The following is a 15,008-nucleotide window of genomic DNA, read 5'->3' on the forward strand; positions in this document are numbered from 1 at the left end:
GCCTTGGATTTTGTGCACTGATGATGTATTTCCATCAATCTCATTTATTTTTGTCTGAAGTCTTATTTTCAGGCCAACCATTCCATTCAAATATTGAATCAGGCCATATCTACCAAGATGCTATCAGGGAGAAAAAAAAGAAAATGTCTTTTATTAGCAGACACACTTATTTTCTATTTTTTACCATCAATGATGACAAGTCTTGGCTGAAGGAGGTATGATAATGGCTCATGGAATCTTAAGTAAGCAATCTGATAGAGGTTCTTGGAAACATGGAGAAGTCTGGAGGTTTCTTAGGTGAACTGCAGACAGGACAGGGAAGGGCTTCATCGAAAGGACTCTAGCTTTATTAAGTGGAAAGATAGACAATTTTTTTTAAATGAGACGAAGTTTCTGGCACTGACATGATCCAAGTGACATGGGGTGAGAGGTCAAAGTTCTGCCTATCCAGCTTTTTCTCAGACCCTACTGCCTTCAACAATTAGCCTACATGACTGGGTCATGTAGCTGATTTAAGTAACTGAGGCCAGAAAGGGAGAAAATGGGAGAGGGGCACAAAGCTATACGGCTAGCTAGAGAGAGAAAACTAGTTCAGAAGTGCAATGGTCTTTCTAAATTATTGCTCAACCATTGATTAAATACTATTTTATTTTTTTCAATCCAGATGACACATTTTAGACATTTTTAGGATTTTTTAAAATAACAAATCCACAGAACAAAAAAAAAAGGAAAATTTTTAGCAGATTATATTTCTTGTTTGGGATTTGGACATTTTGCAACCCTCAATTTCCCCATGGAAGATTTGCATGGAGGCACACGTGTAGAAAAGTAGTTTTCTGTTTCTAAGCTTCAATTTCAATTCTCTGTCAATATCGAGCCCCCTCCTCATGCTTTCTCTTCTCCCCTTTCCCTCTTTCCATCCATCCTCCTCTCTCCTCCTTTTCTCACACTTCCATAAAGTATTTGACAGATCAGTCTATTTCCCTTCTCACAGGGGCTCACCATAGGCCATCTGGTTGTGTGACTACCAGGGAAAAGCTTGTGACGTCTCTAGGTGACTCCACAGAATAGCAACAGTCTTTTGAAGATGCCAGCTGCCCTTCCTCTTTCATGGAAGTTACAAAAAGATAGCTCCACATGCTGACACTTCCTCCCACTGAGAAGCTGGCTTTGGAAGAGGCACTAGCTCAGCAGGGGTCCTCTAATGTTGGCCTGAAAACTGACTCCACCAGGCAGGAGGCAAGGATGTGATAATATTTGTAGTCCCTCCCGGGGGGCTCCCACCCTGGGTGTTGCCAATCTTCCAACTGGCAGGCCTCTGCAGCTGCCAATGGACAGGAAGAAGAAAATATTCTAGAGTCCATTTCACAACTAGAAGTTTTAAGCCAGTTCTAGTTACTTCGCTTAGAAGACATTAGGTGAAATCACATGAAATTGCCAATATTTGACTGGTTAGCCTGCAAAAATGGTCAAACCTAATCTCATATGGTTCAATCTAATCTATCCTGTATGATCTGTCTGAATGACAAAGAAGTCATGGAAGAAAAATAAAATATTTAGAGGGCCTTTATTCATCATAGTGACTGCATCAGTCCCATGTTCAAAAATATTCAGTTGATCACTACTAGCTTACATTCATCAGAGTGAAGAGCAAAGCCCTCTAGAGAGGACTCAGCCTGCTCATCAGTAGTATTCATTCCTACTTCCCAGCACCAACCAACACTTTTCTCAGAATCTTTCCAATCTTGTCTCTTACTTCACCTCTTAAAGTTCAGCATATGTAAAAGGAGTTTGTCAAAGGGTCCCAAATTTCCTCTAATTCATTTAAACATTCAATTTAATCCAGTCTTATTAAAAGCAAAGGATAACAGAAATAAGAATTATAACCAAAGTATAACAAAGAAGTCAACATTCTTTTCCAGACCCTGAATATTTATCTAAAACCGACGTCAACAAATTCAAAAGGCAATTTTGAGTTTCTGTTCAAACAGCAATACATTGTTTGATAATAAATCACTTGATCTTTAACCAATAAAAGGAGAGGCTTATGGAATAAGCCTTAGTTCAGAGGATTCTTCCAGGGGTTGAGGAAATTGTCAATAGTGTATTTGCCAGGGCAATACTTCCCAAAATCCCTGTGAGAAAAAAAAAAAAAAAAAGGCGTTCCCAGTGTCTGAGAGGCGGGCACTCATGTTGGATCTCCCTCAAGGCATTCCCTAGGTGATTAGTTTCATAGGAAACTGGACTTGCTGAAACCATGTCCTTCCATAATAGGGTTGGACTATCTGAATCACGGGCAAGTCAGGTCTCAACTGACCCTCTTGCTAACACTCAGACTGCAAGGTTATTGGAGTTGGTTAAGAACTGCAAACATGTCTACTACAGGGGCCCAGCCTTCTTGGCTGGACCTTTCTTCCCAGTGATTCTACAGACCATATTTTCTATGCTATACGCTGCCCCTGACAATGGACCAAGATTTATTTTCCAGGATATTTCTAATTAGAACCATTTTACATGCAATAGTCCCTTCTTTCACATTTTTTACCCCTTCCTGTTTGCACATAACTCTTCTCTTACATTTTCCTAGTGAACACTTTCCCCCTTGACTTCTTTTAACCCTTTAGAGGGGTTGAATTGGGGGTTGATGAAAGCCTGTTTTGCATGTCTCCCCAAAGACATAATTCATGCCCCCTGTGATATGGATCCACAGGGCAACTAGTTCACCTGGGAGTCGATTGCAACGAACACCTGTAGGGGAGTAGGGAAATGAGACAAGGAAGGGAAGGAGCCAGCAGAGGGTTCAATATCAGTCAAGTTACCACTGGGGGCAACTGGAGCAGGAGTTGCTGAGTAACTCAGGGAGCCAGTGTAGGACACATGCTTCAGTTATCCCAGTGAAGGGGTAAAACAGAAATATAATTTATATGTCAACTCCCCTCAGTCATTGGGAGAGAGCTGCTGTGAAGTGGAGGAGTGGTGAATCCTTCAAAATTTTTGACCACCTGGCAGGTACGCAAAGCAATCTTTGGGGCGAGAGAAAGATGTTAGAAAAAAAAATTGCTGGCATTTTGAAGGCAAACAGATGCAGGGTGGAGGAAAGGGTGCATTAGGGGTACTGACGGTGTCTGCTACAAAGCTAAAACTCAATTTGAAAGAACAAAAGTAAAAAAGGGTTAACGGAATCAGAAAAGACAGATAGAAAGATGCCAGTCAGAAAAAAAAAAAAGCTCTGTGATAGAATCTCAGCTTAGCTAATCCATTCCTAATTTCCAGCACAGACCATTCACAAATTATACTGAAATGTTGCTTGTTAAAAAGAAGGCACTACCCTCCACATTTCATGGTTGAAGAAGAATTGAACCCAACTTTTGCACAGTTTCCATAATTTTCCAACTCACACCTCTTTTCTTCAGTTTAGACCCATCTCCCTGCCACCCAACGTGCTCATGCCAGGCTCACTTTAACTGCTATGCTTTTCTCATGCTGCTTAGCCTTCCTGGAATCCTCTCCACATCATGGAAAACTTCCCCATCTGTAAGATCTACCTCAGACTCTCCTCTGCTCAGTGAGTTCCTGCCAACACTCCACACTTCCTGATTGCCCTCTCCTCTTCTTATCTGGCCAATGGTTGTGGTAGGCAGAAAAACGGCACCTGTCCTAATCCCTGAAACCTGTGAACATGTTACCTTCCTTGGTAAAGGGGATTCCACAGATGTGATTAAACTGAGATGAGATATTCCTTTTCTCCAAGTGAGCCCAATGTAATCACAAGTGTCTTTAAGAAACGGAAGAGGGAGGATGAAGATTCAGAGTCAAAGAGAGATCTGAAGAGGCTATACTGCTGGCTTTGAAGATGGAGGAAGAGGCCACAGGCCAAGGGATACAGATGGCCTGTAGACCTCAAAAAAGTCACAGGAACAGATTCCCTCTAGAGCCTGCCAACACCAGTGGAACCTGTTTTGGACTTCTGACCTCCAGAACTGCAAGATAATAAATTTGTGTTGTTTTAAGTGACTATGCTTGTTGTAATTTGTTACAGCAACAAGAAGAAACTAATAAAGTGGTTTTTAAGGCATGCTCCTCAGCATTCTGCATATTTTTAGAGCCCTTCTGCAACAAATTCAACTAGAGAACTCTATATTTTTCAGATTTACAACATGGACTTCTATCATATTTCATTTGAAGAAAATATTTGCCCTTAAAAATAGGTGAAATCCTATAACATATCACATATCATAGTTTACGTATTTAATTTAATGTGCCTTACGTATGGCACACTGACTAAGAACATGGATTCAGAAGTCTGGTTGCCTTGGCTTGAACCCCAGCTCTGTCACTTACTAGCTGTGTAATCTTGGGCAGATTGCTTAACCTCTCTGTGCATGGCTTACTCATCTATAAAATGAAGATAAAATAATATCTACCTCTATTGAATTGGATAGTGTCCCCTCAAAATTCAGATCCTTCCCAGAACCTAAGAATGTGACCCTATTTAGAAACATGCTCATTGCAGATATTATTAGAGTAGATGACATCATTCAATATGATTGGTGTGCTTTAAAGAAGAAGAGAAACACAGGGAGAACACCATTTGTCAATGGAGGGAGAGGTTGGAGTCATCGATCTACAAGCCAAGGAATACCACAGACTGTCAGCAACACCAAGCTAAGAGAGAGGCGTGGAACAGATTCTCCTCTAGAGCCCTCAGAGAAAGCATGCCCCTGCCAACACTTTGATTTTGGACTTGTGGCCTCCAAAACTGTGAGAAATTTCTATTGTTTTAAGCCACTCTATTTGCGGTACATTGTTAAGAACAGCCCTAGGAAACTAATGCTCTATTTTACAGAGTTTTTGCAAAGACTACATTTGTTAATAATACATGTGAAGTCCACAGACCATACCCTGCATATTATTAATAAAGGATAGTTATTATTGTTTCATTTCATAAGTATTAGCCTTATTATCATTGAATTTAAAAATGCAAATTTCAGCCATTTATTGTGTGCCTCCCAGCACTGTTTTTAAGCACTTCATGTATTCTCTCACCCAGGATGTTGCTCAGGGTGCCTGAGCTGAAATGATCCTCCCAACTAAGCCTCTGGAGTAGCTGGAACTACAAGTATGCACCACCATACCCAGCTAATATTTTTTAATTTTTTATATTTATAGAGACAGTCTTGCTATATTGCTCAGGCTAGTCTTGAACTCCTGACCTTAAGCAATCCTCATACCTCAGTCTTTTAAGCGCTGGGATTACAGATGTGAGTCACCATGCCTGGCCCTGAGACTGCTTTCTGTACTTCCTTAGAATTCCCTTCTGAGTGCAGCCTGCTGCGCAAAGGGGCCCAGTGGGCACATCTTTGTTTTGAAGAGGTGAGTCCTCTGCATTCTAGTCAGAATCTTTCACAGTCCTGGGTGTTAGACCGAGCAGCAGTTCTCAAAGTAAAGTCTAAGAATCCCTGAGGGTTACTAAAATGGTTTTAGGGATTCCACAAGGTCCCTGTCTTTGCCAATTTAAGTATCTGTGTGCCTGATTGTTTCATATATTTCAACCAAACCAATATATTCCAACAGATTAAATGCAAAAGCAGATGTTTGATTCCAGCTGTCTTCCAGTAAGCTAGAGGTTAAAGAGGTTTACAAAATGTAAAACAATGCTACTCTTCTCAGTATATTTTCTTGGTTTTTGAAAATAAAAGTGTTTTTAATAAAAATATTTATATTAAGATATGAGTTTATTATTTTAAATATACTGATAATAAATATTTTAATTTTTTTGCTTTTTTTCCTAATATTAAAGCTATAGAGAACTATATCACACATCAATATGAGCCCTTGAGGGTACTCAATAATTTTTAAAAGTGTAAAGGTGTTCTGAGACCAAAAAGTTTAAGAAATGCGGGTATAGTGGCTTTAAATTTTGATATTTTACTTATTTTTAATTGCTCAGGCAGCTGGTCTTCACTCACTATATGGCTTCTGTACAAAATTGATGGTATCATCCTTCTGCGGGGTTGATTTGAGCAGTAAGATTCCAGAAAATTGTTTTACGCTTTTTTTTTTTTTTAAACACTGGTTGGGGTGAGAGTATATAAAATTGTGTGTTTGTTTGTGTGTATATTTGTGTACACCAATTCTACCACTTAATAAACACATTCCAATTGAAACTTGAGGAATGAGCAAGGGTAAAAATAGAAGATGAATTCAATAGGGATGGATATAAGTTGGGACGTTTACTTGCAAAGTCACAAAGACAAGTGCCTAAGAGAAACGATGTTGACTACAGAACCCATGCTCCTTTTATACGAGCAAATAACAGAGAAATTTATTTTGGGATTCTCTGACTTCTTTCCCTCATTTGTTGTTATTTTGGGAGGCCATCCAAATTGTCTTTAGCTTTATGTATAATCCCAGACACCAATCAAAACTCTCCAAATGAGCATGGCAAAGCTTGAGCCATGGCAAGATTTTCTTTCTTGCTTAAGATGGCAGGTAAGAATCCAGAAAAGCCAGATGTAGTATTTGAACCCAATTTTCCTCAGCAAGAAGGCAGCTTCCATAATTCTAAAAGGATTCCATGATACCTCATGCTAAAGTGTTTACGTCTTGCACCCATCTCTGAGTCTTTAGAGGATACCGTCTCTGAGGAACCCAATAAGAGAGCCCACCTGGACTCAGCCAGGCCACTGAAGAGGCAGCTTCTGAATGCTAGCCAAATTCTGACCATTGTGTTCCAGCAGCTTCATTTCCCAATGGCCCAAGATTCCCTTCGAGAAACAAGGACAAGAACCAAACATAAGTTGTTTTGAGAAGAAAGCTATTTCGTGCAGATTCCTAATCCCCTCTTCATGAAAAAATGGAATTTATACTTGTTTACCCATCTGTGTTCTTGCCAGAGAAGAGAAGTCACACCAGCTCTGTGGAAGGCATTAATCCCCTGGCTAAATCCTTGCAGATATGTTTTCAAACAGGCCTGAAATATGAACCCTGGTTCCCCCTGTGTATTGCTGCAGTGACCTGAGAACTCTCCTCAGGGAGCTAGATACTAGAAGGCAGGCTGAGCCAGAAGCCATCTTCATGCGCAACTGCAAAACTCGTATTTCCCAAACAAGAGTTTTTCTTCAGCTTCCCTAAACCTCATATTACCTTCCTTTCGGCAAGAGGTGCCCACCCCCCACAAATTAATGGGCTGGGTAAAGAGGAAGATTATGACAATAATAACAATGACAACAATGATGATGTTGACAGTGATATAATCGGTTTACTAAATCATGCAATATTGTATTTTGTATGTTTTTTTTTTCCAATCACTTTACTGTCCTGTAACAATACTCCAGGAAGATTATATAATTATATGGTTACTTTCAGTTACTATAAGCTTATATCTAGGACAGCTGAGTGTATTCAGCTAAATCAGACATCTAATCTACTTCCCCTTTTGCTGGCACCCCTATCTTTATGGACTGCTCTCTTGATGCCCCCCACCTTTTCTCCACTCAGGAGAGAGGGAAGTATCCCTCCCCTGTCTCACAGAGAAAAACCACGGCCCATCCTACTAAGCTAAAGATCTGCCTAATGTCTAAAAGTTCTTTTGCCCTTATCCTAGTCTTTTTATTATGTCTGTGTCTTATTTATTCACTGCTGGATCCTAGGCACCTAATACAGTACCTGTCACAGAATAGGTCAATGGATATTTGTTGAATCAGTGATGGATTGAATGTCCTTGACCAGGGAAGGGATCCTGGGGAATGCAGGAGATTAGCAAAACCAGTCTGGCTGCCCACACTTAATAAGCCCTAGAAGGACTATCAGGCCTCCAATTCTTTTCAGCTTCATTTGGATTATGAGGCTAGTGTCCCATCCCATTTTACTTCATACCTTTTAATCTTCAGTCTTTGGTTAATTTTCCAATTCTGGGGCATCAGGAATGTTAGGCTGGACATTCTGTTGCAATAACATGCTAAAAACAACTCCTATTTGCTCAGCCCATGCTGTGTCCCAGGAACTGTGCATGTGTTACCTAATTTTTTACCACCACCCTGTAAGGTAGGGATTATAGTCTCCATTTTCACATGAAGCAACTAAATCAGATAGAGTTTAGGAAAGGTGTTCAAGAAACAACCAGGAAGCAGCAGAGTTGAAAAGTTTGAAACAGTCATGTCTCAACTTTTTGTGTATCACTAGTTTTCAAAGTGACTATATGTGGAAATATAAAAGACCATATAAATTAATGAATACCTTGAAATACATATTTTTAACCACCCTTTTTATTTTGTTACCGCTCTCTATACAGCTGTGCTGTCTTTCTTAAGTAAAACAACACCAAGTAAATTAATAAATATATCTAAACTTCAATACCTTTGAGACACAATTGCTGCATTCATATTCTGCCTCTCTGTCTCTGTCTCTCTCTCTCTCTCTCTCTCTTTCTCTCTCTCTCTCCCTCTCTCTCTTTTAGTTGAGAAGAATTAGTTTAAACTCAATTCATGGCTTATATATTAAATTTAGGTATTATTTTTTACATAATATAACATCTATGAACTCACCACCTAATAATCCAAGAACTATAGTATCACCTGTAACTAGTATCTACCTATGTGTGTTCCTTCCCAAACCCGACACCCTATCAAATTTCAATTCTCCACATGGCACCTCCATCCTCTTTCTTGAAGTAATCATTTCTTTGCCTTTCTTAATTTTCGCTGCATTCTCCAACAATGCAATGAGACAGAATAAACCTTTCTACCTTTATCTGGTTAGTCTTTGAAAGAATGAATTTGTTGCCTAGTAAATAACTGTGATGGTTAATATTGTCAACTTGATTGGATTGAAGGATGCAAAGTATTGTTCCTGGGTGTGTCTGTGAGGGTGTTGTCAAAAAGGATTAACATCTGGATCAGTGGAGCGGGAGAAACACACCTATCCTCAATCTGAGTGGGCACAATCTAATCAGCAGCCAGAATAAAAACAGGCAGAAGAACATGAAAAGACTAGACTGGCTTAGCCACCCAGTCTACATCTTTCTCCCATGCTGGATGCTTCCTGCTCTCAAACATCAGACCTCCAAGTTCTTCAGCTTTGGAACTCAGACTGGCTTCCTTGTTCCTCGGCTTGCAGATAGCCCATTGTGGGACCTCACCTTGTGATCGTGTGAGTCAATACTCCTTAACTCCCTTTTATATATTTATCTATCCTATTAGTTCTGTCCTCTAGAGAATCCTAACTAATACAATAAATATTTCCAGCTTTTTTCCCTGAAACTATACTGTTCTTTAGGATTTAAAAATCACCAAACGTTTTAAACTCCAGCTAGTCTTTCATAAAGAAAAAAATCGTAATGACCTAGACTTGAAATCTTAGTCATCTCTGATTTCACCCCTTTCCTCATATTCTGACTCTTTATTGGTATGTATTTAAAACATATGTTTAGAATCCTGACTTGAAGCAACCTAACTTGGGTCTATTATCTAATTCCACCTGGCTTCAAACTATTTTACTAAGGGATGTTAGGTTACCAATTTCCTAGCTAAGCCCAAGGCTGCAAAGACATAGACTTTGGGGACATGAAGCTGCTTGGTTTCCAGGATCTGTAACTTTTTGAACCATAGGCTCCCTATATGTGGCCATAAGAATAATTTGACCTCTGATACACCCAGGGCAGCTGGTGTAACCATAGCACCACACTTAGTAATCATGCCACTCATGATTATACAAAAAGGCAACTATTTAGAGAACCAGTTTTGTTCTCCCCACAGTGTCACAGCAGTTAACAGTTTGATAGACAAAGAGTGATTGTTTCATAGCCTATCTAAATCATAATAAGCATCCTACTAATATTAATTCTTTTCAGAATCCTTGAGTAATGTTTTCAGCATTATAATTCCAACTATAGGAAAACAACCAGGATTTGAGTAACCTTTAATGATTAAGCATTATATAAAATTTAATTAAATTCTTCTCGGGCTGTTGAGTGTTGGGCTAGACAGAGCACTCTCAAAGGCTAACACATTTTTAAGAATATGTGTCTACATTAGGCCAGTTTCTCCAAGCAAAGTCTGAGAGATTTGTTCAGCTGCAAATGATTAATTGAGGGAAGTATTCTTAAGAGAAAAATGCTAACAGAGTCAAAGAACCAAATTAAGGAAAGGGACAGACTTGAACAAGCATCTCAGGTAATGTCAAGCACTGGCCTGACCACCCCCATACCCAAGCAGGGGTGGGCTCTAGACAAGACCACATATTGCATCTCTAAGGCAAGGGACCTAGGCTTTTATACCCCCAAAAAGTCCGTCATTGGCTAAGACTCAGGGCTTGGAATAGTGGGTATTAACTTCTCAAGCATCTCTGAATGAGGTGGTTCACTCAGCCAAGGGCAATTTCCCAGAGAAAGTCACAGGTAAATCTATCAGATGCAGCACTTGCAACAGCCACAGATGGGTGCACCAGTGGGAGAATGAAATCTGGGGGAGGGGCCAACAGTGTCTACCACCACATCTAATACTCATAAACCTTAAACTCTTACATCTTTAGTCCCAGTACCCCAGAAACTCACTGCATTTTTCCTACAAATCCACAATTCTCCCCCCCAAAAAAAATGAAGAGGAAAAAAACAACGAATTCGTGACATTGAACAGGGACATAATACATTGAGTCACCCAGTAGGTAAGTTTAAACTTAACTTTCTGAATTGTAATGGATATCATGTACCTACCAATAGGATTTGGCTAGAAAGGAACTTTACCTCTGTGGTCTTTCCAAAAACCCACAACCCCAGTCTAATCATGAGAAAAACATCAGACTAATCCTGACTGGGGTCATTCTACAGGATACCTGGCCAACACTCCTCAAGGCTGTAAAGGTAAAGAAAAACAAGGGAAGCCTCAGAAACTGTCACAGACCAGTGGAGACTGGGGAGACACATGACAACTAAATGCAGTATGGTACCCTGAATTGGACCCTGGAACAAAATAAAAAAAGGGAGTTAATGGAAAAACTAGTAAAATCCAAAGAAAGTTAGCAGTTCAGTTAATAGTAATATGTAATGCTGATATCTTAGTTTTGACAAATATATCATGGTAAATTAAGATGTTAACCATAGTGAAACTGGGTGTGGGGTATGTGGCCATTCTTCGTCCTATCTTTGCAACTATTCTGTGAACCTAAAATTATTCCAAAATGAAAAGTTTTTTAAAAAATATCTAATTAAAACCAACAATAACAAAAGGCAACAGAGAAGTTGCCCCACTCTTGTCCTCTCATTACATCAGCCTCAGTATTATTTTAATTAAGAAGCATAAGATTCACACCATTTTCGAAGGGTACTTTGAATCACATTTATTGCCCTTACTTTGACATCTGACTCAGCTGAGAGAAAAAAGAAAAGAAAAAGAAGGAAGGAAGAGAGGAAGGGAGAAAGGGGAAAGAAGATGCTGACCCCAAGAAAATTATGCAAATTGGCTGAGGCAGCTAGTTGTTGAGATGGCAGCCAGAGCAAGATGAGGCCCCACGGTTTTGGAATGCTCCCCTAATGGTGCCCTAATCCTGTGAACTCTATCTCAGCATTCACACCTCCCCATTCAGGCCTTTATCATGTCACAACTGAACCACTCCCACAGCCTCCCAACTAGCTTCTCTTTCCCCCTCCATCCTGGAGGCACTCACAACCTCTACCATTCCACCACCTATACCTGACCTGACCTATCTTTCGCTAGTGATTCTCTTACTCTAGGCAACTAGGTAACTCTGCACACAGCCCATGATTTCTCAACCCACTGGGTACATTCTCCTCCTGGAATGCTCTCCCCACACATTTGTTTAAAAGCCACTTAGAGTTTCATGAAATCTCCCCTGATCTTCAGAGATGGAAGGGATTTCTCCCTCCTTTAATCTTTTTTAGTGCTTCTAATTATCTTGGTGTTTGCCCTATCTCCCTTACTAGATTGTGTGCTATTTGAAGACAAGACCACACTTCATCATCTTCCTATTCCTTACAACTTTTCTGTGGAATTAGGTCGTGCATTCAGTAAGGCATCAGAAAGATTTATTGACTTGATATGTCCCCCAAAAATTCAATTTAGTTCAGCCAATATTTTTGAATGCCTAATCTATGTAGGTACTTAGAATTGTTCTAGGTCTAGATTAGCTCAATTTTTTCAATAATTTTTCCTTAGCCAATATAATAACGCTTTCATGCACTTTCTCTTGTGCCAAGCCATGTGCTGTACACTTTATATGAATTATCTTATTTGATTTTCGCCCAACTCTATAGTACAGATTATTTTATTACATCCATTTATGAGGTGACTAAAAATAATGGAGATTAAGCATTTAGCCAAAGTCACTCAAATTTGAGTTTAATTCCCACTACTGTGATTTACTGTCAAGTTCTGAATGCAATGACTCTGCAATGTCCTTAGCAGATCAAAGTCTCAATGACTGTATCCTAGCTGAAATGCTAGTTTACTTGCAGAATATTAATAGCTAAATTAATAGATTAGGTTTATAGGAGATAGACCTTAAATTCTGCCTGCAGTGAATGATTATGGAAATTCTTTCCCTCAAATTATTTAAAAACAGAGCCAATTTCTCTGCTCTTGGGAATATAAGTTGACATAACCTTCCCAGAAAGCAATTTGTCAATACATAGAACAACACTATTTTTAAAGTGTGTTACGTTTGATCCAGCATTTCTACTTCTCAGAGTTAGCCTTAAAGAACCAATTAACAATATATGCAAATATTTTGCCACAAGGTTTTTACATTAACATTGTTTATGACAACAAAAACTAGTAAATATCTAAATGTCCAACAAGAAGAGACACAGTAACTAAGTTATGCTCCATCCATACAAAGAAACACCAGGTAGCCATTGAATGTTCCGAACAGGCATAGGCATAAAGAAATGATATTATAAGTTAATTTTTAAAAGCAATTTACAAGCGTGTATAATATCATTTTGTTAAAAGTGAAGGGTATACAGGATCTTGGCATCTTGAACAAAGAATTGGACAAAATGCACAAACAAAGCAAGAAAGGGATGAAGTGATTTACTTAAAATGAAAGTACACTCCACAGTGTGGGAGTGGGTCTAAGCATAGGAGCTCAAAGGCCCTGTTACAGAATTTTGGGGAGTTTAAATACCCCTAGAGGATTCCATTGGTTACTTCGGGTATGCCCTATGTAAATGGAGAAGATGAAGTAAAGTTACAAAGTCATTTATGGCATATGCCCTATGGAGAGGACATTTCCTGTTACAGCTGAAGTGTGAATCGGCCTTATATTCCCCTGCCTCCAGACCCTATTTTCCTGCCTCATCTCCCCCCTGAGAGATGTGATCCCCATAAATCTTTATGGGAGGCAGAGGGACTGATGGTTTTCTCTTGTAACTACTTCATGCTGGCTTGGGGCATAGTCCCTACCTATTGGGGATCACGGAACTCTTGCCCTGTTATGGCTAGTGGAGGCAGGGTAGCTTCTTGATGGCCAGGGGTGATGGCTTCACCTGGAATTGGATGGAACCTTTGTTGCATGACCATCTGAAGCTTGATAGTCTCTAGGCAGGAGGAAATGACTTTTCTTTTTTTTTTGATACAGAGTCTCACTCTGTCACCCAGGCTGGAGTGCAGTGGTGCAATCTTGGCTCACTGCAAACTCTGCCTCCTGGGTTCAAGAAATTCTCTGCCTCAGCCTCCTGAGTAGCTGGGATTACAGGAGCCCACCACCACACCCAGCTAATTTTTTTGTATTTTTAGTAGAGATGGGGGTTTCACCATCTTGCCTAGGCTGGTCTTGAACTCCTGACCTCAGGATCCACCCGCCTCCCAAAGTGCTGGGATTATAGGTGTGAGCCACCATGCCTGGCCGAGGAAATGAATTTGATTAAAAAATTTAATGGGAACTTCAGGGGGTGGATACCTATGCTGTTATAGAGATTTGCAGGAGAAAAAACAAAACCTGGTCTGTTCTGGAATCTACGTGTTTCCTTAAAGTCTTAGCATGAGCAACTCCATTTTGGTTTGGTTTCTCATGTCCTAGTGCATGAGCTCAGTTCAAAACAATGGCCTCCCATAATTTTGTTTTAGAAAGTTCTCCATTTTTGGTCAGGCTCTCACTTGGGTGAGAGTGTAACCAAAACTTAGGGCCTTAGCACCACTCTCAGTTATCATCATTTTGGGTTTCTCGTCTCAGCAAATCATTTATAGGTTATGGTGTTCTCATGGCTGCACATTTCTTTCAGCTCCTGTTATTCCAGTTGAAGAGAGACCATGTGACATTCTAGAGATGGCTGCATGCAAGCATTTAAAACCTTTGAGAGAATACAGCATACAAGGGAGACTATTATTATGACTATTGGGAGGATAATATCAAGAGTTTGGAGTATGTTCCTTACCCAAGGTCCCCATAAACCAAACCTCCTAAAATCAAATAGATCAAAGAATGAGCCAGATAAAGAGTTTACTCACTTGACTAAGCAATTTCTTCATCAATCCCCTATCACTGAATTTCTATAATCTTCATCTGATGTCTTTCTCCATAGGCCACAAGTGCCAGCAGCTGCACAGATACTTCTCTATTTAGCCAATTCTGTTATAATTTTCACAAGAGAATTTAGAGTCTACTGTGTAACTGTATCCTTTACAGTAGAATTTGCTATAGAACCTGTCATAAGGGATACATTTCTAATCATTGTTTCTTATACTTTAAACCACGGAAAAAGGACCTAACAAATGACGCCCTTTTAGAAGAATGAAGGCCTGCTGGCAATGCTCTCTTTAACCCATAATGCTGATTAAGAGGAGTGAACCAATGTATTGTTTTTGACTGATTATGATGCAATGCATGTACCATTAAAGTTTCTTACCTACATTAGGCCTTCATCATTTATCTATCAAAGTATAAGGTTATCCATGTCTAAGGCTGGCTCCAAACTTCTTCACAAATAAAAGTATACCACATAAGTGCACATAACAGACCCCTTTTCCACTTCTATTGTTCACAGAGGCATAAGC

This window comes from Homo sapiens, chromosome 3 (assembly GCF_000001405.40).
Source record: "Homo sapiens chromosome 3, GRCh38.p14 Primary Assembly".
Classification (NCBI taxonomy): domain Eukaryota; kingdom Metazoa; phylum Chordata; class Mammalia; order Primates; family Hominidae; genus Homo; species Homo sapiens.